The sequence below is a fragment of the Homo sapiens genome, chromosome 5 (assembly GCF_000001405.40).
Source record: "Homo sapiens chromosome 5, GRCh38.p14 Primary Assembly".
Lineage (NCBI taxonomy): Eukaryota > Metazoa > Chordata > Mammalia > Primates > Hominidae > Homo > Homo sapiens.
Window position 1 is genome coordinate 156,012,008 of NC_000005.10, and position 24,047 is coordinate 156,036,054.

General features: G+C 36.4%; 1 protein-coding gene across 4 annotated transcripts in view; it reads left to right on the forward strand.

Moving 5' to 3' along the window:
- The window catches only part of SGCD (sarcoglycan delta), a 1,039,957-nt gene that overhangs the window by 284,176 nt on the left and 731,734 nt on the right, over positions 1-24,047 (forward strand). The window contains exon 3 of one of the 4 annotated variants that reach the window (XM_047417518.1): positions 23,093-23,148. The exons of the other annotated variants lie outside the window; for them this stretch is intronic. The gene's annotated coding sequence lies outside the window, so the exon portion shown is untranslated. The remainder of the gene's footprint in view (positions 1-23,092; positions 23,149-24,047) is intronic. 4 annotated transcript variants of the gene reach the window in all.

Sequence of the window (24,047 nt, forward strand, 5' to 3'; positions counted from 1 at the left end):
CTAGAGGTTAAGTACTACATTAGGAATTTAAGGGAGGAGAGATATGTCACTATTGCCTGTATATGTTATAAAAACGGTGTATCTTCAATGCATATGCTTATATATTCATTTCTAATTTTTATTTGCACCTATGACAATGGATCTCTAAATGTCATATATACTTTAGCAGATAATCATTATTTTTTAAATCAGACAGCATAGCAGCAAAATTGCAGATAATTACGAAAGAAATTCTCACCACGCTATCAAAAATGCCACTTAAATGTTTTCATATTTGACTCCATATCCTATCTTACATGCTTACGTATTATTACAGAGTAGCAATCAATACCACACATGTCATTTTAAAGGCTATGTTTGAAAATTTATCTTAGAATTTTTTCATATGTTATGATAATTGTCATTTTAGAATAATTTGAAAGATTCAAAATTGTATAGAGGTGGAAATGTAAATGATTCAAATCCCACCATTCAGTGAAGTCAGTGATGACATTTTAGTGATTATCCTTATATATCCTTCAGGATATAAATGTATTCAGACATATCTATGTCTTTATCTCTAGAGTTATCTCTTTACTAAGATTGTTTAATATATGCACAGAGATAATTTTTTTTTTTTTTTTGAGAGGGAGTCTCGCTCTGTGGCCCAAGCTGGAGTGCAGTGGTGGGATCTTGGCTCACTGCAAGCTCCGCCTCCTGGGTTCACGCCATTCTCCCACCTCAGCCTCCCAAGTAAATGGGACTACAGGTACCTGCCACCATGCCTGGCTAATATTTTGTACTTTTAGTAGAAACGGGGTTTCACCATGTTAGCCAGGATGGTCTCGATTTCCTGACCTCGTGATCTGCCTGCCTCGAAAAGTGCTGGGATTACAGGCGTGAGCCACCGCGCCCAGCCCACGAAAGCTTCTTTTTAATGATTTATAGCATTCCATTTATATATATATTTATTATTTATATATATAATATGTATACAAGTAGTGTCTTTTCATTTCCATATAGCTGGACATTTAGGTGTTTTTTTTTTTTTTCTTTTGTGATGGAGTCTCGCTCTGTCGCCAAGGCTGGAGTGCAGTGGCACCATCTCGGCTCACTGCAACCTCTGTCTCCCGAGTTCAGGCGATTCTCCTGCCTCAGCCTCCTAGTGGCTGGGACTATGGGCACACGCCACCACACCCGGCTAATTTTTGTATTTTTAGTAGAGATGGAGTTTCACCATGTTGGCCAGGCTGGTCTCGAACTCCTGACCTCAAGTGATCTGCCGACCTCAGCCTCCCAAAGTGCTGGGATTACAGGCATGAGCTACTGCTCCTGGCCTAGGTGTTTTTGAAGTGTTGCTTTCTTCCTTCAGGTTTGATGAAAGTAGAACTTAAAATTAAAGTGAGTAGAAAATTTTGAAGCTCTTAATACATCTTGTTAAATTTTACACAAGAGCGTTTGTGCTGGCTTATCCTTGCCTTGGTGTTTTTAGAATGCATATTTCCCTGTGCCCTTCTGAACAGGGACACTATCAGTTTTTATTTTAAAATATTGTCAGTTTAATAATGGAAAATTATATTGTATTTAAGCTTTTTTCTTTGATTACTGTAGTGTTTGAACATGTCTTCAGGAATTCGTAGACCATTATTATTTCTTCTTTATAAATTGATTCTTCATGTCTTTTGCCTATTTTTATATTGAGAGTGTTTGCTCTTTTAAATGTTAAGGTTAACGTTTTATCTTCCATAACTGATATGAATATTTTTTCTAATGTGTCCTTAATTTTATTTATGGTATTTTTTACATATAGCCATTTTTAATGTCTATGTCAGAATAATAGTTTTATCATTTGTTTTTATTTTTTAAGAGACACTCCTAATTCTTAATTTAGGTATTTATTCTTTTGTATTTTCCTTCCACTTTGTGTCTTTGTGTGTACGTGTGTTTATTTGTTCATGCTTTTTGTCTCCGAGATATGTTTTGGTTATTTACGAGATAGGGATGCAGCTTACTTTTTTTTTTCTCAAAAAGTTAGAAAATCCTTCTAGCATTTTGCTGGATCAATCTTTTGCTAAGGGATGAAAATTCTAGCTTTAACATACATAATTATAGAATCTCTTTTTGGGCTTTTAGTTGTCTTTCTTTGGTCTGTTCATCAATCCTTGGAGTAGTACAACATTCTAATATTTTAAATCTTTATAATGAGATTCAATATCTGGTAGAGCATGACTTTCCTTGGTACTTTGCTCATTCAGTTTCCTTGGCAATCACTTACTGTTTATTTCTTCCAATTAAATGTAGACCCCTCTCCTTTTTAAACTTTTATTTTGAAATAATTTTAAACCTGCAGAAAATTTACCAGAATAGCACAAACAACTCCTGCATACCCTTTACCCAGATTAACCTTATTAAACATTTGCCATATTTGCTTTATCATCCATGTGTATATATTATTATTTATTTTTTATGGGAGAAAATTACCAGATTAATTTTTAATATTTTTTCATTTGTAAGTAGTTTGTATATACCACTTCCCTTAATGTTTCAATGTTTACATGCTAAGAATAAAGCTATTCTCTTATACAATCTTAGTAAATTTATCAACCTCAGGAAACGTCGTAGTGGATTTTCATGTATTTTTATGTAATCTACAGTCCATATTCTACTTTTCTTCCAGTTTGCTCAATATTGTCCCAGTAATGTTCTTTGTCACATTTTTTCCTTGTGTACAGGATCTTGTCCAAGAGCAGTTTATTTTTCCTGTTTTTTATTTTAGTGTCTTAGTTTAGAACAGCCCTCAACCTTTCTTTATCTTTCATGCTATGACGTTTTTGACTAATACAGGGTGGTTACTTTCTATAGCGTTTTGCACTTTGGGTTTGAAAATGCTTCCTCGTAGGGAAGTTCAGGTTATGCATTTCCAGTCAGAATACCATGTAAGCGATGCTATGTTCTTTCCTGGCATCACATCTGAAGGCATGTCGTGACCATCTCCCCTTCGTAGATATTGCTAATTGTGACACTAGTCAGGGGCTTGGCCATTTTTCTCCAGTGAATGTTTAGTACTTTCCACCCTGCAGCTAAGAAGCAGTGTGTGAGGAGATACTTCGAGAACATTATCTAGCCTGAATCTACCTTCACTTGGTTGCAAAATGGTGTTTTTCTAACTCCTCTGTACCTTCCACATTCATTAGGTTCTCTAAAGTAAGGAAAAGGCCTCCCTTTCTTCTTTCTTATTAATATATCCATTTATATTCAGTATGGATCCATGGATTCTTTTTTATTCAATAGGTTAAAATACCTTAGTGATCTGAATTATTTTGCTGCTAAATTTATTCCACACTTGGCCAGTAGGAGCCCCTTGAAGGTGATTCTTCTGTCCTTTTTATACATCTTCATTATCTTTTGAGCATTTATTCCCTTGCTTTCTGGCACGAGATGTTCCAGCTCCAGAAGCATATATATGTATATATTTATACTTCAAGAAGCCCTGGTTCTATTTACTGGGGAATAGTATTTACTAGCTAAGTATTAGGTGGCTCATTATTACTGGGGTGTTTTTTCTTGTAAGCCTGTTTACCAGACAGAAAAAGGGTGCATATATACATATATATGTATGCATGTGTGTGTGTGTATATATATGTATATGTATATGTATACCCTTTTATTTATATGCTTTTATATATATCCTTACCACTTTTGTAACGAATGAATGATATATGAATGACGTGTATAATATGTATATATGATGTATGATATTCATATATCATTCATTCTTTCCAAAACCAATGCAGTCCCAATGAACACACAAACACACACACACACACACACAGTGCACTGCATTGGTTTTGGAATGAATGAATGAAATTATATATATAATATATGTAATTATATGTCTATCATCCACATATATTTTATATATATATATATATCATCCATATATCATTCATTCATTTCAAAACTGATGCAGTTCCAATGATTTCTTACTTACCTCATAAATCACTGATGTCTTAAAATACAATAACCTGACCTTTAAAACAAAACAGAAAACTTATGATTCTTTCAAATTTCACAATTTCAATCTCCCTTCTTTCACAGTGAGAACCCTGATCCCAACATCAGCACATTTACTCATTTGCTCAATTCTGCAATACACATGTAATAGGCTCAGAACAATACCTCGGTAAAAACAAAACAAAGCAAGAAAACAAAAGCAAAACAAGCCTTCTTTTAAAAAGTTCAAGATTTCATTTCAATTTTTTTTCCACTAGACTGAAGATATTCAAAGTATTGTGTTTAAAAGTGGGTTTGTTTCGCTCCCTTCAGTGTTGTTAGTCATTTTAAATGCAGTTAGGTTTGTTTCTGTTTGCATTTAGTTTTACATTTTGTTCCCATTCTTGCTGATTTAATTTAAATAATTTAATTGTTTTGGCATACATAGAATATTAACAAGATTCCAAAAGTCAAAATTATACCAAAAAAGTATTGAAAGGTTGTCCCATCCCTTATCTTTTCCAACCTGTAGCCCTGCTCCACCCCTTTATAGATAACAAATTTTGTTGGTTTCTGATTTACTCTTTCTGTATTTCTTTTTTTACAAAAACTAGCAGATACACATATGTTTTCTTACTTTCTCTTGTTTCTTACACAAAGATAGCATGTTGTATGTACTGTCTTGTAATTTGCCGTGTTTACTTAAATGTAACTTGGAACTCACTCTCCATGCACTTCATGGAGATCTTCCTTATTCTTCTTTGTAGTTGCTGGGTTCCTCATTTGTGTATGTACCATAGCTTGTTCAACTAATCACCTCTGTTTGGGCATTTAAGAGAATTGTCAATACTTTGCAATTGTCTATGATGTTGCAATAAATGACCTTGTGCATATACATTTTTGTATGTTTGTGTTGGAGGTATACATTTGTGTATATTCCTTGATATGTGATTGCTGGATCAAACAAGGAAGCATACGGAGTTTGTTACTCATGTGCATATTCTCTTCTGTTGGGGTTTTACCTTTGAGTTCCCACCAGCAACATACGAGGGTGCCTATTTTTCAATAGCCTCACCAATAAAGTAAATCATTATGCTTTTGAATGTGGCCAACTAATGGTTGGGAAATTTGCATTTCTCTTAATGTAAGTGAAATTGAACATCTTTTTATATGTTTAAAAACCATCTAAAAATATCTTTGTAAAGTGTCTTGCCTGCTTTTCTGTATTGTTTCCCTCAATACAAAAATGTTGCTTATATATTTGAGATGACGCTGCAAATATCTTCTTCTTATTTTTCATTTGTGTTCCAGCTTTGTTTATATAGTGTTTTCCCCATGCAAAAGTTTTTTTTATTTATTATTTTTATGTAGGCAAATGCATCAATTTTTTAAAATTGCAACTGAATTGTAAATCATAGATAAAAACTTTTATGTTTACCTAGGTTATAGAGGAATTCATTCATGTTTTCCTCTAGCTTGTATAGTTTCATTTTTTTTACATTTATTCAAGTTTTCTAATTTTTCCTACAATATTTCTATGTATTTCTTTTAAGGAGATTGCTAAACATTTTATCATTTTAATTATTATAGTTAGAAGACTTTATCCATTAACTTTTCTTATTAGTTATTTCTGATATGTAAGAAATTCAATGATTTTATGTAATTATTGAGAAACATTTACTATATTACTCTGAAATAGTCTCTAGTTCAGTAACATTTCAAAAATGGAAATGTTTTTCTAAGAATGAATCATATTGTCTTATTTTATAGTTTTTATATATTTTCTTCACTTATTGCATTAGCAATTATATAATTATATGGCTTTTATTGTATTACATTTAAAAAAGAACCATCATCTCCTCTTTTGACATTCATATTGACATTTAAATTAATGTTAAAGTCAGATGCAGTGGCTCACTCCTGTAATCCCAGCACTTTGGGAGGCCGAGACTGGAGGATTGCTTGAGCCCAGGAGTTGAAGACCAGCCTGGGCACCGTAGGGAGACTCCATCTCTACAAAAAATAAAATAATTATCTGGGCATGGTGGTGAGCACCTGTGGTTCTAGCTACTCAGGAGGCTGAGGTGGGAGGATTGCTTGAGCCTAGGAGGTCAAGGCTGCAGTGAACCATAATTGCACCACTGCAATCCTGAGCAACACGGTGAGACCCTGTCTTAGTAAATGAATGAATCAATGAATGACTAGATAAATAGATAAATAAATTAATAAATAAATGTTAAGATCCTATTTGTGATAGTGGAAAATTCTCATTTTTTTTCTAACTTTAATGGGAGTGTCTTTAGTACTCCATCATTAAGGATACAAATATCCGCTAGTGTCTGTTAAAATTAAGTTTTATAACTACACTATCCCATATTATGTCCCACTATGAACATGTATATATTTTAAAAAGTACAGCATGTGTTTAGAAACAGAGATAGATATGATTAACAAACATACACAAATATATGGGGTTAACAGAGATATTGGATATTTATTTTTATGAAGATACATGCCACACTTTTATATTGCAGACTTATGTACACGTGTATTGGTAAATTGTTTTTAATAGGGGATTAAGACCATAGAATAAAATGGTACTCCTTCATCCAGCCATCATTTATCCATCTCTGCATCATCCCTCTATCTATCCAGTTGATAAATATCTCCCATTTACCTAATAAGTGTTGAGCACTGAGCTAGGTTATCAGAAACAAACACCTCCTAAAACTTTTTAACTTCTGGAAGGCTAAAATGTGCGTAATTTTGTCTTTCATAGCAAATTTCCTTTTTTATGGACCTACTTCAGCATTCATACACAGGCACTTTTTTTCTTCACCAAAGCATTGAGGGCAATTTCTCAAATAGTAACAAATAAATAGGAAACTTAAATCTTAGCAGTTGACACTGCATAATTTTTCCCGGATTTTCATCAAATTTTAACCATGTAATTTTATTTACCTATAATTCAAGAGATTCATTGTCTTTTTAATAGGAAAAAATCTGTCAGTCAGGGAAATTCATAATGTCCATAGAGAGACGTTAAATTTGTCATTGTAAAGACAAAATTAACTATATATTAATCTATCATCTGTTTCCCTAGCTCAATCTAATTTGACATATTTAATGAAAATCACTGATGGCTTCTAGTATAATAAACTGATCTTTAAAACAAAACATAGAAATTCTAATACTCACATATTTCACATTGAAAGAGTGATGAAAACTTCACTTGAAACATTTATTTTGTGATTTCAAAAACTGTAGTTAAAATGATAGCTAGGGAGCAGTAAATCACCATATGCTACGCTACTTCTAGGCTTGGACTCAGAACCTTGAACGTTGACAGAATTAACATATTAATTTGAGTTTTCCCTGGATGTTTCAGTTTAACTTTTGATATTCTTCTTTCCAAAGGCTGAAAAAAAAAGCCTTTCATTTAAAATGCATTTCTTAGAGAACTGTTAATGATCTCCCTTCCTTTCATTTAGCAGGCAAAATAACATTTCTTTGAAAAATGGTTATCTGCTGAGAATTTGATTATTGAATAAAGATCAGTAATTTTGGGGTGTGTGGAACATCTGTCAGGAATTTTGGAAAGGAATCACTGACTCCATTCATGTGACTTATTTCATATGAAAGCAGCATACACATTATATCAGAGAGGACAGCTAAAGCTATATCAACACAGTGCCGTAAATTCAGAGGGAAGAACTGGAGAACTTGTGGTAGCATCCATCCAGCATGACATCATTCTTTGCTCCCTCCACTCTTTGCAAGAAGCCCTTTCTCATGACCATCCATAATGTGCGGTAGTGATCGTATTATTTCTTTCTTCACTAATCTTCGGCAACTTTTCAAGGCCTATGAGATAAAATCCAGATGCCTAGAGTTAGCATTTAAAGCCCTGTGCTGTGGCCTAACTCATGTCTCCAATCTCAGCTCCTGCTACTTATGCACCTTCTCTAAACTTTCTTCTGGCAGCTGCAAACTCTTACCTCACCCTGGGCATGTCCACACGTTATTCTGCCTCCAAGCCCTTGCTTCCTCTGCCTCGAATTCCCTTCTCAGATTTTCCATGTCACTTGCCCAGATCGACTGTAAAACATTTCCTGATCCTTCCACCTAGATGTGATCAACTACATGTACTTACTTTTATATATTTTCATATACACAACAGAGCTTATGTTGCACATGTTATTTTATTCTTCACTCTTTCCACTTAATGATATGTCTGAAAGATCTTGAGATATCAACTGAGAACATATATCTCCTCTTCATTTTTGTATTTAAATGTTTTTATTGAATAATTTAGAAGAGTAAACAAAGAATGTCCTTCCTTCTTTCTCTGTAATTCAAGATAAAGCCAAAAACCTTAGAGAAAATTTGAAGGGGCTGAGAATAGGGCTATACTGTCACTTGGTTTTTGAATAGCCTGCTTCATATTTTTAACAGCCACATTTTATCACATCATATGGGCGCACACTATAATTTAATTCATCAACTAAATATTTTAGTTGTCCCTAGTTTTTTTTTAATCTGTTAAAACAATGCTGTTTGTAATAGAAAACACTCTTACACATTTATATTGGAGAACTTTGGCAAGGGTTATCAGTAGGATTAATTACTAGCAATGAGGATATTTTCAATCTTGAATTATAGGTATTTATAATGGTGTCTTTACACCACCACCCTCTGCTCCAAAGACCTGTGAGCTTCTTGAAGGTAGAACGAATTATTATTACCATCATCATCGCTAGTGTGTATTGGTCAGGCTCTATGCTAACTGTCTTACAAGTGTTTCTCATTTAGTTCTCATAACAACCCCTTGGACTTTGGATTATTTTCATTTCACAGTTGATGTGCAGTTTATGAGGCTGCATTTGAACTTCCTCCTAACTGCTGTGACCTCTTGCACTCGGCTGGCCTTCTGGAGATATTTATTGAGTGATTATGTCTGGAACAGAACAAAACTTGCACAGAAAACAAAACAATCATTGTTCATATTTTTAAAAAGGCTTTTCTTTCTTCATCCACAAATTGTCTTTGCAATTCTGTTGGTTATTTTGCTTGAGGACATTTATCTTCTGGAAGAAATCACTGGGGAAAAAATCAGTTTTATGTTTAATACCAATGGTTCCACTAATATGCCCCTGAATTAACAGTTATGTGCAAGTTTTTAATACATTCTCACCATATTTCTTTGATAGAGAAAAAAACAGGGAGAAAAGGAGTTGTGTAGGGGCTTTTCATAATTTTTTAAAAAAGTTTAAATAAATCATTTATTTTTCAAATATGTATTGAGCATGTATTGTATGACAGGTGCTGTGCTTCCAGCTGGAGGAACAAGATAAGAGTAGAAACACCTTAATTAGCCAAGCATGGTGACTATTAGCCAAGCATGGTGGTGTGAACCTGTAGTCTCATCTACTTGGGAAGTTAAGGTGGGAGGATCGCTTGAGCCCAAGAGGTTGAGGCTGCAGTGAGCTGTGATCACAGCACTGCAGTTCTGCCTGAGCAACAGAGTTAGAGCCTGTCTCATAAAATAAAATAATAAAGGCCTAAATAAACATGCAGGTGTATAGGGTGATTGTGAGTACTCTGCAAGGATGATACTGGAGAGTCAGGAAAGTCACATGAAAGCTGCAATGTGATGTTCAAGAAGAGCAGAAGTTAACTTGGGCCTCGGCAACCTGTGGTGGGTTGGAGGTAGCGGAAACGGTGGGAGGGTGTACAGTGGGAAGAGCAGAGGTCTGGTGTGAGCCGGAGCCTGGCATATCTCAGGAGCCAGAGGAAGGAGCATGAGGGTGAGAAGCAGAAAGCATGAGAAGAGTGATTCGAGGAGCAGCTGCTATTTGGCCCTGGTGGTAAATGATCTTTTTAACATAATATCTTTATTCAGATGTAATTCACATGCTATACAGTTCATCCATTTAAAGTGTATAATTCATCGGTTTTTAGTATATTCAGAGTTGTACAACCATCATCTTTATCAATTACAATATTTTCATCACCCCCAAAAGAAACCCAGTATCTGTCACTTTCATTTTCCCCTACTCATGCCCCCATCTTCTCAAAACCACAAATCTACTTTCTGTCTCTACAGATTTGCCTATTTTGAACATTTCATATAAATAGTATCATACAATACATGACTTTTGTGTCTGGCTTATTTCTCTTAGCATAATGTTTCCAAGGTCCTCCATCTATCAAATCTTCACTCCTTTTTATTGCTGAATACTTACTGAATTTTATTGCCAAATACATTTTGGTAATATTTTATGTTTGTTGTTATATTGTGATTTCATAAGCTTCTAAAAATACCTCACAGACTTTAAGTACTGAAACGAGCTCACCTTTAAAACAGTAGAAATGTGAAATTAAGTCCTGATTATTAATTGTTATTCTTAAAACATTTAAATATCATGCTATGGAATTATTATAAATGTTCAAATGTGACTTCTAAAATAGAATAACATGTAGTTTCTTTTTTGAAGAAATTATTTCAGCATTTTGCAATGCTTAATTTTTGCAACATTATCAGAGCATGAAAACATAACACATTTTATAACTTCAATTATAGAAGAAACGAGTTGACATAGATTTGTTCTACTTTCCCAATAATGGATATAAATTGGTTTTAGTGATGGTATGTAGGGAATATTTTTGTGGCAAATATTTGTACCTGTTTTTATAGAAAGGAATATGTGAGGCAAGTTACTTTCTATTAAATATTTTTAATTGTTTTAAATACAATATTCATTGTCATTTTGCCTTTTCTTTTTTCTTTTCTCCTTTTCCTTTTTCTTATGCCACAATAAAAAGATAGGAGTAGAACCTGATAATAATACTTTTCTTTCATTGTTATATGAGAAACTCACCCTGGAAAATAATCTTCTGCTGTCAGATTACTATGAATCGCACAGAGTGAAAATACGGTACAAGGTGCTTTTCCACCCAGCTGTCACTTCTTTGTTTCCCAGCTAAAAAGCTCATCATTTTTCTCTTAAGTGTAGCACAGTGGGGAGAGCACAAACTTAGAATTAGAAAGAGCTAGCAAAAACAGAATTTGCATTATAACTCCATGACCCACACAGTGATTCTTTGGTCAATCATTGAAACTCTCTGAACTTCCTTTTCTTCACCTTTGAAATATGAATGATGACATCCCTGTCTTGGGACTCTTAGGAGGATTAAATTAGGGCACATGTGTAGGCACCCAACAGGGTGCCTGGCACATAGTAGGAGCTTGATAAATGGTGGTTATTAAAGAAGGAAAATTTTGAATCCAGGTGGTACAAATGATTCTTTGGGGGCTTTATACCTTGTCTTCCACATGAAAATTGTTCCCCCATGTTGCCATGAACTGTGCTTAATATTCTCCTCAACCAACCAGTCAAGTATTGGAGTGAGAATTAGAATTAGAGTATGGGCTCTGAGAGTTCAGGAACTTTTCTGTCTCATTAAATGCTGCCTGCACCTGAGATTGAGTAGGTATGTCAGTAAACATTACTGGCACTAATTACTTGTGCATCTACTATTGTGCAAGCCTTTATGATTTAGCACTATGGGTGGCTTAATAAAATGATTAGCACTAGTCACTTCTCTCAAGTAACTTAGAATGTGAGTTTGATGAGTAATGGCTGAGCTCCTTCAGGTGCCAAAGTGTTGAGATGGGCTCAGGTTACCTAAGAGGAAGTGTGAGAACGTTCAGAGAATTATCTCAGTAATGCTAGCAAGGAGCTATGGGTACCTGGAGCATTGTTCAAGATGCACAGTAGCTTTATTGGCTCAATACATCTTCGGCTGTCTAACAAGCTAGAGTTTTCACGAAGCTCTGCCATACTTAATGCCTCTTATTTGGTCTCAACTTCTACTCTGCAATTGCTTCTTCCCTTGCTATCACTTGTCTGGCTTTCTGACTTTGACGCTTCTCAAGAGAGGTTTAGTTGGATTTCTGATTGGAATCCAGTGTCGAGCATCCCTGTCAGAAAGGCTCTTAGGACAGGTCACCAGATGGCTGCAGTTCTCCTGTGGTTTGCTGTTGCTACCTTTAATTTCCACAGTGATCATGATTTAGTCAGCTCTGGCCAAGGCTGCAGATTCTGGAGTTCCAAGGATGGCAGCGTAAGTATCGGAAGGTATAGGAAGCTGAGTCATTTCAGACCTTTCTTCTACAAAAGTGAATGGATATCTATCGACACAGGGAAGCTTGAGGTAAATGCCAAGAGACTGAGACAGGCAATGTGTGCTTTGATGGAGAAGATACCCCAATGGGATGGTGATCAGGGAGGAAGAAAATAGAGTGTAAATTGAAAATGTGGCTTATCTTGTATGACGTCCTCAAGATGCACTCAATAAATGCTTGCCCTATGAAATGTTGAAGGAAGAGACAACATTTGGCCTACAAGATTGTGAAAGTTAGTGGGGAAAGCAGACACAGATAAAATTCAGTTTTTTGCATTTCCAACCTAGTTGTCTGGCCTCTAGTACCTCTCTTGACCTTTTGAGTAAGCTTTCTGGATTCTTCCTCTACCTTTTTTGTAGGCTGGACTATATTAGCTTGTTTAATGAATCACTGTGGCCGAGAATTCAAAATGCTCCAGTTATGGTTCCTGGAAAAACTCTATTTTAGATAGTATATTGATTCCTGCAGTGTTTCCCTGTAATAATTTTTCTGTGATATTTATTTTTTATAAGGATAAAGAGGCTGGACACAGTGGCTCATGCCTGTAATCCCAGCTGAGATGGGCAGATTGCCTGAGTTTAGGAGTTCGCAACCAGCCTGGGCAACATGGTGAAACCCCGTTTCTACTAAAATACAAAAAATTAGCCGGGCATGGTGGCGTGTGCCTGTAGTCTCAGCTACTCGGGAGGCTGAGGCAGGAGAATTGCTTGAACCCTGGAGGCAGAGGTTGCAGTGAGCCGAGATCGTGCCACTGCACTCCAGCCTGGGCAACAGTGCGAGACTCCATCTCAAAAAAAAAAAAAAAGAAATGGCTAAAGAAAGCTGTGGCCAATAAGTTGAGGAAACATTGTATTGGGGTAGATTATACTGGAGTAACAAATTATTTTCCATATTTCAGTGGCTTAACTTGGAGAAAGTTTCTTTGTTGCTTATCCAAAGTCCAATGGTAGTGGGAGGACTTTCCAGAGCAACTGGTTTCCGTGTGGTGATTTAGTGATCCTCATCACTTCCATGATGTGGTTCTACCATTGTATCAGCATGGTGTTCATGATCTCCCCATAGGAAATGAGAGGGCTGGGAGGTCACACAGAAGCTTTCCTCTGCCTCAGCATGAAAGTGGCCCATGAGTCTCCCACTCATATCTCATTAGTTGGAGCAAGTCATAAGGTCCTGACTAATGACAAGGGCTGAGAATCTTCTATTTGCCCAGGAAAGGTATGAAAACTCAGATGTGAGTGAGCACTAAAAATCCTTACCACTCTCAGTCAAATTGTAGTATATTTTCATGTTTGCCAGACTTTGTTGGAGCTTTAGACCTGGTAACATACTTTGTCTGTCTTCAAGATGGGTCCATCCTTTGCAGTTTTACCCAGATTCATTTGCTCATAGCACTTTTTATTCATGGAGCATCTTAGAGCACTACTATTCTATGGGCCTATTTTGATAAATATGAGATTTTTCTCCATTTTCTTTCTCACTGCAGCTATAAGCATCATATTTCCTAATCCCCTTGGTGGTATTATGTTGTATTATTTTGTTAACCTTTATTATAATGGAAATTGCTGTAAGTGTGCTGTTTGCCACTCTGATTCTCAGACTAATCTCAATGTCGGGAAAGAGCACATTCAGAAAAGCAAAACACTGTTGGAATAGAGCAGAAGTGATTCCTGGGTGACAAGAAAGAATTGCCATCTGGTGGTAGTTTTGTTCATGCTGTTTAAACATTCCATTGGCCCTTTATTTTAAAAGTATAGGAGATGAAAGTATTATCACTTATGTGAAATAACAGCTGTCACCAAGTTTCTTTGAGCCACAAGGTGACATCATTATCTATAAAGTGAGTGCCAGAAATGGTGGCTCTAGTCAGCTATTGTTAGATCAAATTTAGTTAGACTTTCAATTTACCAAAGAACAGTCACTGAATTATTGATAAATGCAAGGCTCATTGCCAGGCTCTCAGGAAGATAGAAATATGCAACTTAGTACTGTGGGTGGTAGGCAGCAAAAAATACTTGTTGTTAGATTGACAACAAATATCAGGCAACATATTTATTGAGAATGTACTTTGTGCCCCAAATATAATGTTAGAGAGCAAGAAATGGACATTACAACAATTATCATCAATGTTACAGTGTATTGGAGACAATCAAATAATTACAGTTATTAGTATATGAAAACAACCTGAGATAAATGTTCTGAGGGAAGTGGATATATAAAATCCTATAACAAAGAGCCTGCTGGATATTAGGGTTATGAGACTTAGTCTGACCTCTCAGGAGGAGAAGGAACCCCAATCTTGGAACCAGTAGGGGACAAAGCCAGAATTTAAATTTATTTCTGTGTGACTTAATGTACTTTCAATTATACAAGTCCATCTTTTTATATGAAAGCATTGTTTGAGCCCAAACTATTCAAGAATTTTGTCCTTGGGAAGGCTTAAGTAAAATTTGTTAAGTTTAATCGTCAGCTTCCTGCTAGTATCAAGCCCAATTCACAATTGATACCAAGATTAATGTTACTTTGTCCTCCCTAGTGCCTGGGTTCTAGTCACGTTCCCCAGGTAATCCCTCAGATCAGGCGGTTGTAAGAGAGTCCATAGATCATGGAATATGGGTCTTTGGGAAAAATCTGACTGATGGCTTACACCAGGAGTTGGGAAACTTTTTATGAAGGGCCAAATAGTAAATATCTATTAGACATTGCCAGCTATGTCTCTGTCATGACTCAGCTCTGTCATTGTAGTACAAAAATGATGAAAAAAAATATGAATGAATTGGTGTTACTGTGTTTCAATAAAGCTTTACAAAATCAAGTGGCAGGCAGGACTTGGTCTATAGGTGATAGTTTGCAGACTGTTAGCTTAATCCACAATCCCTGAGTAACTTATTTTACTTGCTGTTAACCAGCAGTATTTTTTCTCAAATAAATAAAGGCATTTTGGTGACGTAACTTGGTATTTCAAACAGGGTTAGCAAATGCAAAACATCTTTAGGAATATCAGAAAATATTTTTGGCTTTTTCAATCACAAACAATCCTTATTCATTCCTAGTTGATATTCCAAACTCTTCTTCTGGTGTATTATCTATTTTAGGTGTTTAAATCCAAGTTGGGCACCAAGTTTCTAGAAAGGGAGATACGTTACGACATCCCAGATTCAACAACTTGGTATGAAGAAAGGGTTTAAAAGTGAATTTTGAATAATTGGAAGGGATTTCTGAGGACCTGCCTATGTGGGGACAAACAAAATGGAATAATGCCAATACAAATATGTCTCCTACTCTACAACTCTTATGGATCTGACACTGATTCCAATTTTATTAGAATATGATGACAATTGAATAGCAGATATCATGATGAATTTTATTCTAGTCTTTTTTCCTTAGATGACAGGGGAGGTGGGGTGGAAAATCATCTTTTAAAATGCTATACATTTCCCAGAAAACCTCACACATGGTAGGTACTCAATATGCTGACTATATATTAAAGAAAAAAAGAATGAATGATCTAATGAGGGCTAAGACAGATGTTACATTATTTTGTATAGTACATCAGTCTACATTCAACATTTCAGGTTAAAAGGAAATAATTCTACTGCTACTTAATATTAAAATATTTATTTGATAATAAATTTGGCTAATTGTCATTAATAGTATGTGATATAATGTTAAGATTAAGGCACTGGCAAGTTCAGTTTCTGGTGAGTGCCTGGTCTTTGCTTCCAAGATGCAAACACTGTATACTCATATGGCAGAAGTGCCTTAAACACTGTATACTCATATGGCAGAAGGTGGAAGGACAAAAAAGGGTGGACTCTGTGTGAAGCTTCTTTAATAAGATGTGAATCCCATTCCTAAAGGTCCCACCTTACTTCCTAAAGCTCCTGTCTTTTAAAACTATCACAATGGCAATTAAGTTTCAACAGAGGGATTTTGGAACACTTCAGCTAATAGCACTCTCTCTAAAGAAGGCAATGGAGTTTTACTTCAACATCTTCTGAATCTTGTGCTGTTTCTGGGTTCAGTGACTATCATTGTTAGTCATAATGGCAGTATCGAAGACAGGGTAGAATGTGCGTTCAGCCCAGAAATAGCCCTTGAACATGACTCTATGATTCTTTTTCTAAAATCATCTGGTTTTCTTATGGTTTACCTTTTTTCAGTTCAAAAATAAATAGAGAATAATTTAGTAAAGAGCATACACTTTCTAGAGTCAGACAGAACTGAATTAAAATCAGACACCTTGAATTAGTCACTTTGTGAACTTGGGCCAGTTATTTACCCTCTAATATCTCAGTTTCTTCCTATGTAAAATGATAGCAATAATTTTTAGCTCAGTGTTGTGATGATGATGAAATTAGCTATCTTAATGCTCTGCCTTAATGAATACTGAAAACTCTGCATGGTATATAGGAATTGGTCAATAATTGCTTGCTATGATGATAAGGATAGTGAGTTCTATCAGTCAGAATATTATTTTTGATTTTCCTATGCTTCTGTATATAATGAAGGCAGTGATCCTAGATGAGCCATTAAAATATTTGTACCACACATCATGAGAAAGTCATGGAGAAAATTTTTTCTTTGAAAGAGATTTAATATTTTCTCTGAATCACAAGATAACAATTTAATAATCGTCTTTCACAAGGAAGAGAATACAGCATGATGTCGTCTGAACCTACTGTTGCTTGTCAAAGAAAGATTTTTAATGTTAATATTACTAATTAAAAGACATACCACTCAGCACGAAATCACAAACTGTATCTGCTGCTTGTTTAATACACTTTAAGTGTGTGTACGCAGGAGGAAATTTGGGGAAAATTATGAACAAAATCAAACATTTTTCATCTAGCTTTTAGGCTTTTATGTTTTTTTTTAGAGTGCAATTAGAGAATTAATTAATTAAGGTCACCATTCTCAACCTCATCATCTGCTTTGAATTTGAATACAAACCGGTTCTGCATGAGTAGTGTCTGATATAATGTTAATCAAGAAAATGCTGTGTTTAACTGAATATGAAACAGATATAAGCACAGGTTCTGTCTAATGGATTAATAATATAAACAAGGTTGAGGACTAAGTAACAAAAAATGGAGTCAAATACACTTTCAGAATCTGTAGTAATAGAGTTTTATGGTTATTTTTCTGTAATCAGGAATCTATAGTTAATGGGATGGAATGACACTGACACACATACAAACACACAAACACACTCACTCACCCTTATAGTTGTCTTGTCATCCATCCATTCATTCATTCAAGATATACTTGTGGAGCCTGTTTTGCATGACAAGCCTTGGAGATACTGTAGTAACCAAGGTAGATGTGATCTTTATCCTCACTCTCTAGCTTGCCCTCTAACATGAGAAGATGCTTAGTATCAGGAGAATGAAGTCCAGGGTTGTATGGGCATATTCGGCTGCCAATTCAATTATCTTCTCTCAGAAACAGAATTTAGAAGCCAGCCAGGGAGTAATAAACTAGCAGGAAAAATAGAGAAGAGACCAAACAATGATCACTGAACTAACAAAAAGAACAAGTGATGGATCATTTCCCATTTCTGTTCAATATCCATCTTCTACCTCCAGATCTGTTCTCTAGGGCTCTGGCTATGCCAACACAGAATTTTTTTTTAATTTCACTTTACCTAATTTTTTAAAAAAATTTGTATTGACAATATTTCGTTCATACAGCTTCGCTACTTGGAAACTTACAGCCTCTTTTCTCTCTGTCTCCAAATCCTGTCTACTCATTAAGCAGCCTTTCTTCCCCCAGAAAGCCTTCGCCAAGCCCTCCAGCCCTCATAAACCTACCTCCCTCACCTCCCAATTTCCCACACTGAATGGACCATGTCACATAATTTTGTGCTCAGATACTAGTTAAGGTAACGGGTGCTTAGTTACATTCTACTTTATGTCTTTAGTTTTCTGTTCATTAACCAATACAGGGAAATGAAAATAGGAATGAGCTAGAGTGCTTGCTTTCAAGGAGCTTACTCTTGATTAGGGGTGATATGTAATATATGCAAATTACCATGGTTGAATTGTGTTCCCCAGAAAGATATGTTGAAGTCCTATCCTGTAGGATCTAAGAATGTGACCTTATTTGGAAATAGGGTCTTTGCAGATGTAATCAAGTTAAGGCGAGGTCATATTGGGTAAGAGTGAGTCCTAATCCAATAATGGCTTAATAATGTTCTTATAAGAGACCCATAGTCATAGGGGAAATGCCAGGTGACGGCAGAGGCAGAGATGAGAGTGGCATGTCTACAAGCCAAGGAACAGCAAGGATTGCTGGCAGCACCAGATGCTAAGAGAAAGGTGAGGCCCTGCTAACACACCAACACCTTGATTCCAGACTTCTAGCCTCCAGAACTGTGAGAAAATAAAGTTCTGTTATTTTAAATCCCCCTAGTTTATGGTCATTTTTTATAGCAGCCCTAGTAAACTAAACATTGTGGTGATACCAAGGAAATGAATGGGGGAAAGGACGGGTGAGTTGAATGCTTTTGTTGTTCTGAGAAGGAAGTAGTCATTTCCATAGGGGGTTGTGGGCCTATTGAGAGAAGTTTCATGGGGGGGCCCTGGGTCTTGAGAGTGAGCAGGGTTGGGACATCTAAGGTGCAAAGGAAGAAGAAATTACATGTAGCTTTAGGAAATAGTGCAAATAAAGGTACAAATAGTACAAATAGAAACACACATAGAATATACCATGGACTGTGTCTAGGGAGAATTACATGCTTTAGTTGTACTAGGGCATGTTTTTGAGTGAAAAAAAGTAGTGGAAAATGAGCCTGAAAAAGTAGATTGGTGCTAGACCATGGGCAGAAGGCCTCCAGTAGCAGCATAAGAAAATCTGTCACCATCTACTCAGTAGCCAGAGACAAGTGGGGGATATGCAGTGACAGAAGCTTATGTGCTTTGGGGAGACTGATCTGCCAATATTGTATGGAGCAGAAGTTCTCCAGCTGACATGCACATCAGGATCCCCTAGAAGGCTTTTTATGACACAGATTCCTGTGCTCCATCCTTGGAGTTTCTGATTCAGTTAGGATCCAAGAATGTGCATTTCTAACAAGTTCTCAGGTGATATTGATGCTGCTAGTCTGAGAACCACTCTTTGAGAACCACTGATGTAGACAGACAGGAACTTGAAAATGAGACAAGAGGCCTAGAAACCCTTTGGAATGTAATACAGTGAGCAGGCAGAAGAGAAACATGAACTGGAGGAGGAGGAGTGGCAGTGGGCATGATGGGGAAAGAGCTTCCCACCAGGCAGGACTTGGCATCTCATCGAATGTAAAGGCTGCTTGAGACAGAAGGCAAAAATTATTCCAGATTTTTGACTCTAGGAGGTTATTGTAAGGTTTTCCTTTCATTTCTTGTGTGTTAGTCTTATTATTCTTACCAAATTAAAAGCTCCCTGAGGATAATGTCCATATTATTTGACAGGCTTACATAGTCTAAAACTTATTTCTTTGTATTTGGCATAATAATAGCTAAGATTTATCAAGTGTATGATGTATGTCAGGCATTTTGCACGGATTACCTAGTTTAAAGTTCAGCACCAATCTGTGAGTTGAATATTATTGTTTGCTTTATAGTGGGGGAGAGTTGAATAATTCAGCCAGGCCACACAGTAACCAAGGGGCTTAACCAAGATTTGAACCAAGTGGTCTGATTCCAGGGCCCAAGTCCTAATGCCTACATTATGGCACCTCATTACTGAAGAGCTAGGTGCTTATTAGGTGCTAAGTCATTATATCAATTTATATTATATGATAAGTCATAGCCATAGAGGAAAATTAGATGATATAGATAGATAATCATAAAAATAAACTTACCTATAAATCTACAATTCAGTGAGAATCGCTGCTTACATATCAGTGTGTATCTCTTCAGGTTTCCTTCTAGGCCTGCATATGAACACGTGTATAGATCACACTATATGGCTTATGCTTGTTTTATAACTTAAAATAAAAAAAAAAACCTAACAGTATCATGAACAATTTTCTTGTCAATAAACATACTTCTACAATATCAATGTTAATGGTGATTTGTTTTTCTATTTTATGACTATGCTATAATTTATTTAACTCTTCTTGTTTAGTTAGGCATCTAGAAATATGCCCTGACATTGAGACTCACCCTGTCTATGGGTTGTATTCTTTTTTGTTTTTTTAACTCTTTGAGTCTTATTCAAATTTATTTCTGGCTTGAAATGAGTCAACTTTTAGATACATTGTCAATTGAAGGGTAAAAGAGTGTTTAATGGCCGGGCACAGTGGCTCACACCTGTAATCCCAGCACTTTGGGAGGCCAGGGCAGGCAGATCACAAGGTCAGGAGATTGAAACCATCCTGGCTAACATGGTGAAAACCCGTCTCTACTAAATATACAAAACATTAGCTGGGCGTGGTGGCAGGCGCCGGTATTCTCAGCTACTAGGGAGGCTGGGGCAGGAGAATGGCATGAACCCGGGAGGTGGAGCTTGTAGTGAGCCACTGCACTCCAGCCTGGGCGACAGAGCAAGACTCCGTCTCAAAAAAAAAAAAAAAAAAAAAAAAAAAAAAGAGTGTTTAATTCCCAAATACACCTAGCACCAGGCAGAAGCTCAAATTTGGGGCGTGGCACAGTGACTCACATCTGTAATTGTAGCACTTTGGGAAGTAAAGGCAGGAGGATCTCTTAAGCCCAGGAGTTTGTGACCAGCCTGGACAACATAGGGAGACCCTATCTCTACACAAAAATTAAAATAAAAACATTAGCCAGGTATAGTGGCACACACCTGTGATCCCAGTTACTCAGGAGGCTGAGGCAGGAAGATCGTTTGAGCCTTGGAGGTCAAAGCTGCAGTGAGCTGTAATCACACCACCATACTCCAGCCTGGGAGACAGAGTGAGACATCGTCTCAAAAATAATAAAATTAAAAATAGAATACTTTATAAAAAAACAAAAAAAAAGAAGCTCAAATTTGTCTGTTTCTTCATTCTGTGGTACTTGTTGAGATCCTTGTGAATTGATGCCTTCAGGAACCATGGCCTCCTGAACCAAACTTCAACAAATCTAACAATTAAAAAAATTTTAATATATTTAGGGGATACAAGTGCAGGTTTCTTACATACATATATTGCATAATAGTAAGGTTTGTGCTTCTAGTGTACCCGTCACCCAAATAGTGAACACTATACTTAATAGGTAATTTTTTAACCCTCACCCTCCTCCCACCCTCTCTCCTTTTGGCGTCCCCAGTGTCTATTGTTTCCTTCTATATGTCCGTGTGTACCCACTGTTTTGTCCCCACTTGTAAGTGAGAACATGCAGTATTTGACTTTCTGTTTCTGAGTTATCTCACTGAGGGTAAGTGAAATAAGAATCCATGGATGAATTCTTAACCTGAAGTGTAGACCTTGAATTTGAATTTGTTGGAAGTAATAAAAGTCATCCAGTTAAACTCTCCTCTTTAATGGAGGTGAAAGCCAAGGCCCAGGGAGGTAAAGTAGCTTTCTCACATTTGCAAATTAGAAACTAAGACTATTGTTTGCGCCCTCAACCATTCAACAAATATTAGGGAGGGCATACTATGTGCAATGAATGTCCTTTTCTGTGTGCAGGGAATACAGCAGTGACCAAAATAGACCAAAGACCCTGCCATCATTGGAGTGAGCATATGATGGGGGTTACTCTGAACCTCTTTTTACTGGCTCACATTGCCCATTTTTGCACTTAATTTTTTATATCAAAGATGCCAGCCAAATCAAACTGTTCAATGCAAGACACAATCTTTTCCTCACCAACTTTCTACCAAGGGAAAACTGTGTCTTGCTAACCAAAATGAACTGCTGTAATACCCTCCAGGGATATTTTTCATCCACTGCCCAGAGGTATTTAGGTATGCCCTGCCAATTTTTAATAGTCCCTCTCTCCTACCCCACTCCTCACACTTGAAGAAACACTTTTTGTCTCCTGCAAAAGACTCCAGTCAAGCAGAAAAATGCTTTCTTTCGTTTTCACATGAGCCACCCACAGCTGAAAGATATGCAGGTGTTTCCAGCAGTGATGGAGCTGCATTTAGGATCCAGATCCAAGGGATTTGCTCTGAATTCTGTCTTTCCTTGTTCTGATGAACCTTCCTCCACCAAACCTTTTGAAAACATTTCATTAATTAGTGCGAGTCTAGATTTGGACTCTGAAGTATAAAGTACCAGAAGATATATTATCATCATTACATGAAATCAGGTCATGTAATTAGGTGCCAGAACAATGAAGCTTCAAAGCTTTCCTTTCCCACATATGAATGTGGCCATTTAGCTTTCCTAAACCTTGTTATCTTCATCTGTAAAAGAGGGCTAACCATCCGTAGTTCATATAACTCTGTACTTCTTTGTAATAGCACTTACTATAATCAATTGTGTCTTGTGTGATTTTGCTAAGTGACCAGTTATTCTCCTTCCCCCAGTACTGAGAAAGTTATTCTCAGGATGTGAAATTTCCAGTATAAAAACCAGGAAAGTTCAAGGCAAGTCAGAATCAGTTGGTCATGTGAAATTATGCAATAAACATTAAGAAACTGTTCAAGATGTGTCTCACCCACTAGATTTCATCCTTCATGCAAGCAGGAACTATGTTTGTCTTGCTGTAAGTACAGTGCCTCATGCATAGTAAGCACTTAGTCAATATTTGTTGGATAAATGTGTCATAGGATCCAATGAAAACTACTTTAGTTAAAATGTGTAGTTCAGAGCTTAGCATATTGTAAGTGCTTAATAAATGTAAGCAAGTTTTGTTATTTTCTTTTTGTGAACACCTTCTAATATCATACTTTTTGGCAATTTTTATAATACATAAATACCTTCTACATGTTTCCAGTGTAAGTTTCATAAGGCAATTAGTGAGACATAATGGATACCATTAGATAACCATTCTGTTATTTCAGGAATCAAGGCTCTTCAAAGGAATTTAATCCTAAGGTGTTTCTTAAAGTTTTCCTCGGTGAGTCTGTTTGTTTTTCTACTTTGAAATGCTAATATTATTCCCTTTTGTCTTGTGCATTTTAAAGTTTGGGATTGAATTCTACCATCTACTCGTGCAACTTTAACCTGCTGCCAAAGCCTTAACAGAGTGGTTAAAACAGTAATTTTGTCTGCCTGAAAAGTGGAATAGGGCCAGTCATGGTGGCTCATGCCTTTAACCAGCACTTTGGAGGCTGTGGCGGGAGGATCACTTGAGGCCAAGTGTTCAATACTAGCATGGGCAACGTAGCGAAACCCTGTCTCTACAAAAGAAAAATAAAAACATTAGCCAGGTATGGTGGCACATGCCTATATTTGCAGTTACTCAGGAGGCTAAGGTGGGAGAATCACTTGAACATAGATGTTTGAGGCTACAGTGAGCCATGATTGTGCCACTGAACTCCAGCTTGGAGTTCAATAGAGGGAGACCCTGTCTCAAAAAAATAAAAAATAATAATAAAAACAAGAGTAGAATGGGGTGGCTATTTAGGTGGTTCTCTAATGGCAGAGGAGAAATGTAATTTGCCTTTCTATAATCCAATAAAATGGATTGTAAAGTGACTACTTCCTGTTAACTTCCATTAGACGTGTTTCTGTGAATTATATTTAACCCATCTTCATTCTTGGAATAAGATCAGAGAAGGAACACAAAGTGATAATCTTGAAGCGTAGCATTTTGGTGAGCAAAGTATCAAAATGGTGTTTAGGAATAGTGATACCATCACAAGAAAAATTGCAGAACTGTTATAACTCTAAGAAATATTTTTTAATAGGGAAGCTGTTAGTTATATCACAGCTTTATAGTTATATACATGCTGGACACAAGAATGTGCTTTCACCTATATTATCTCATCTAAATCCTTTAAAGGCTTTTGTGAT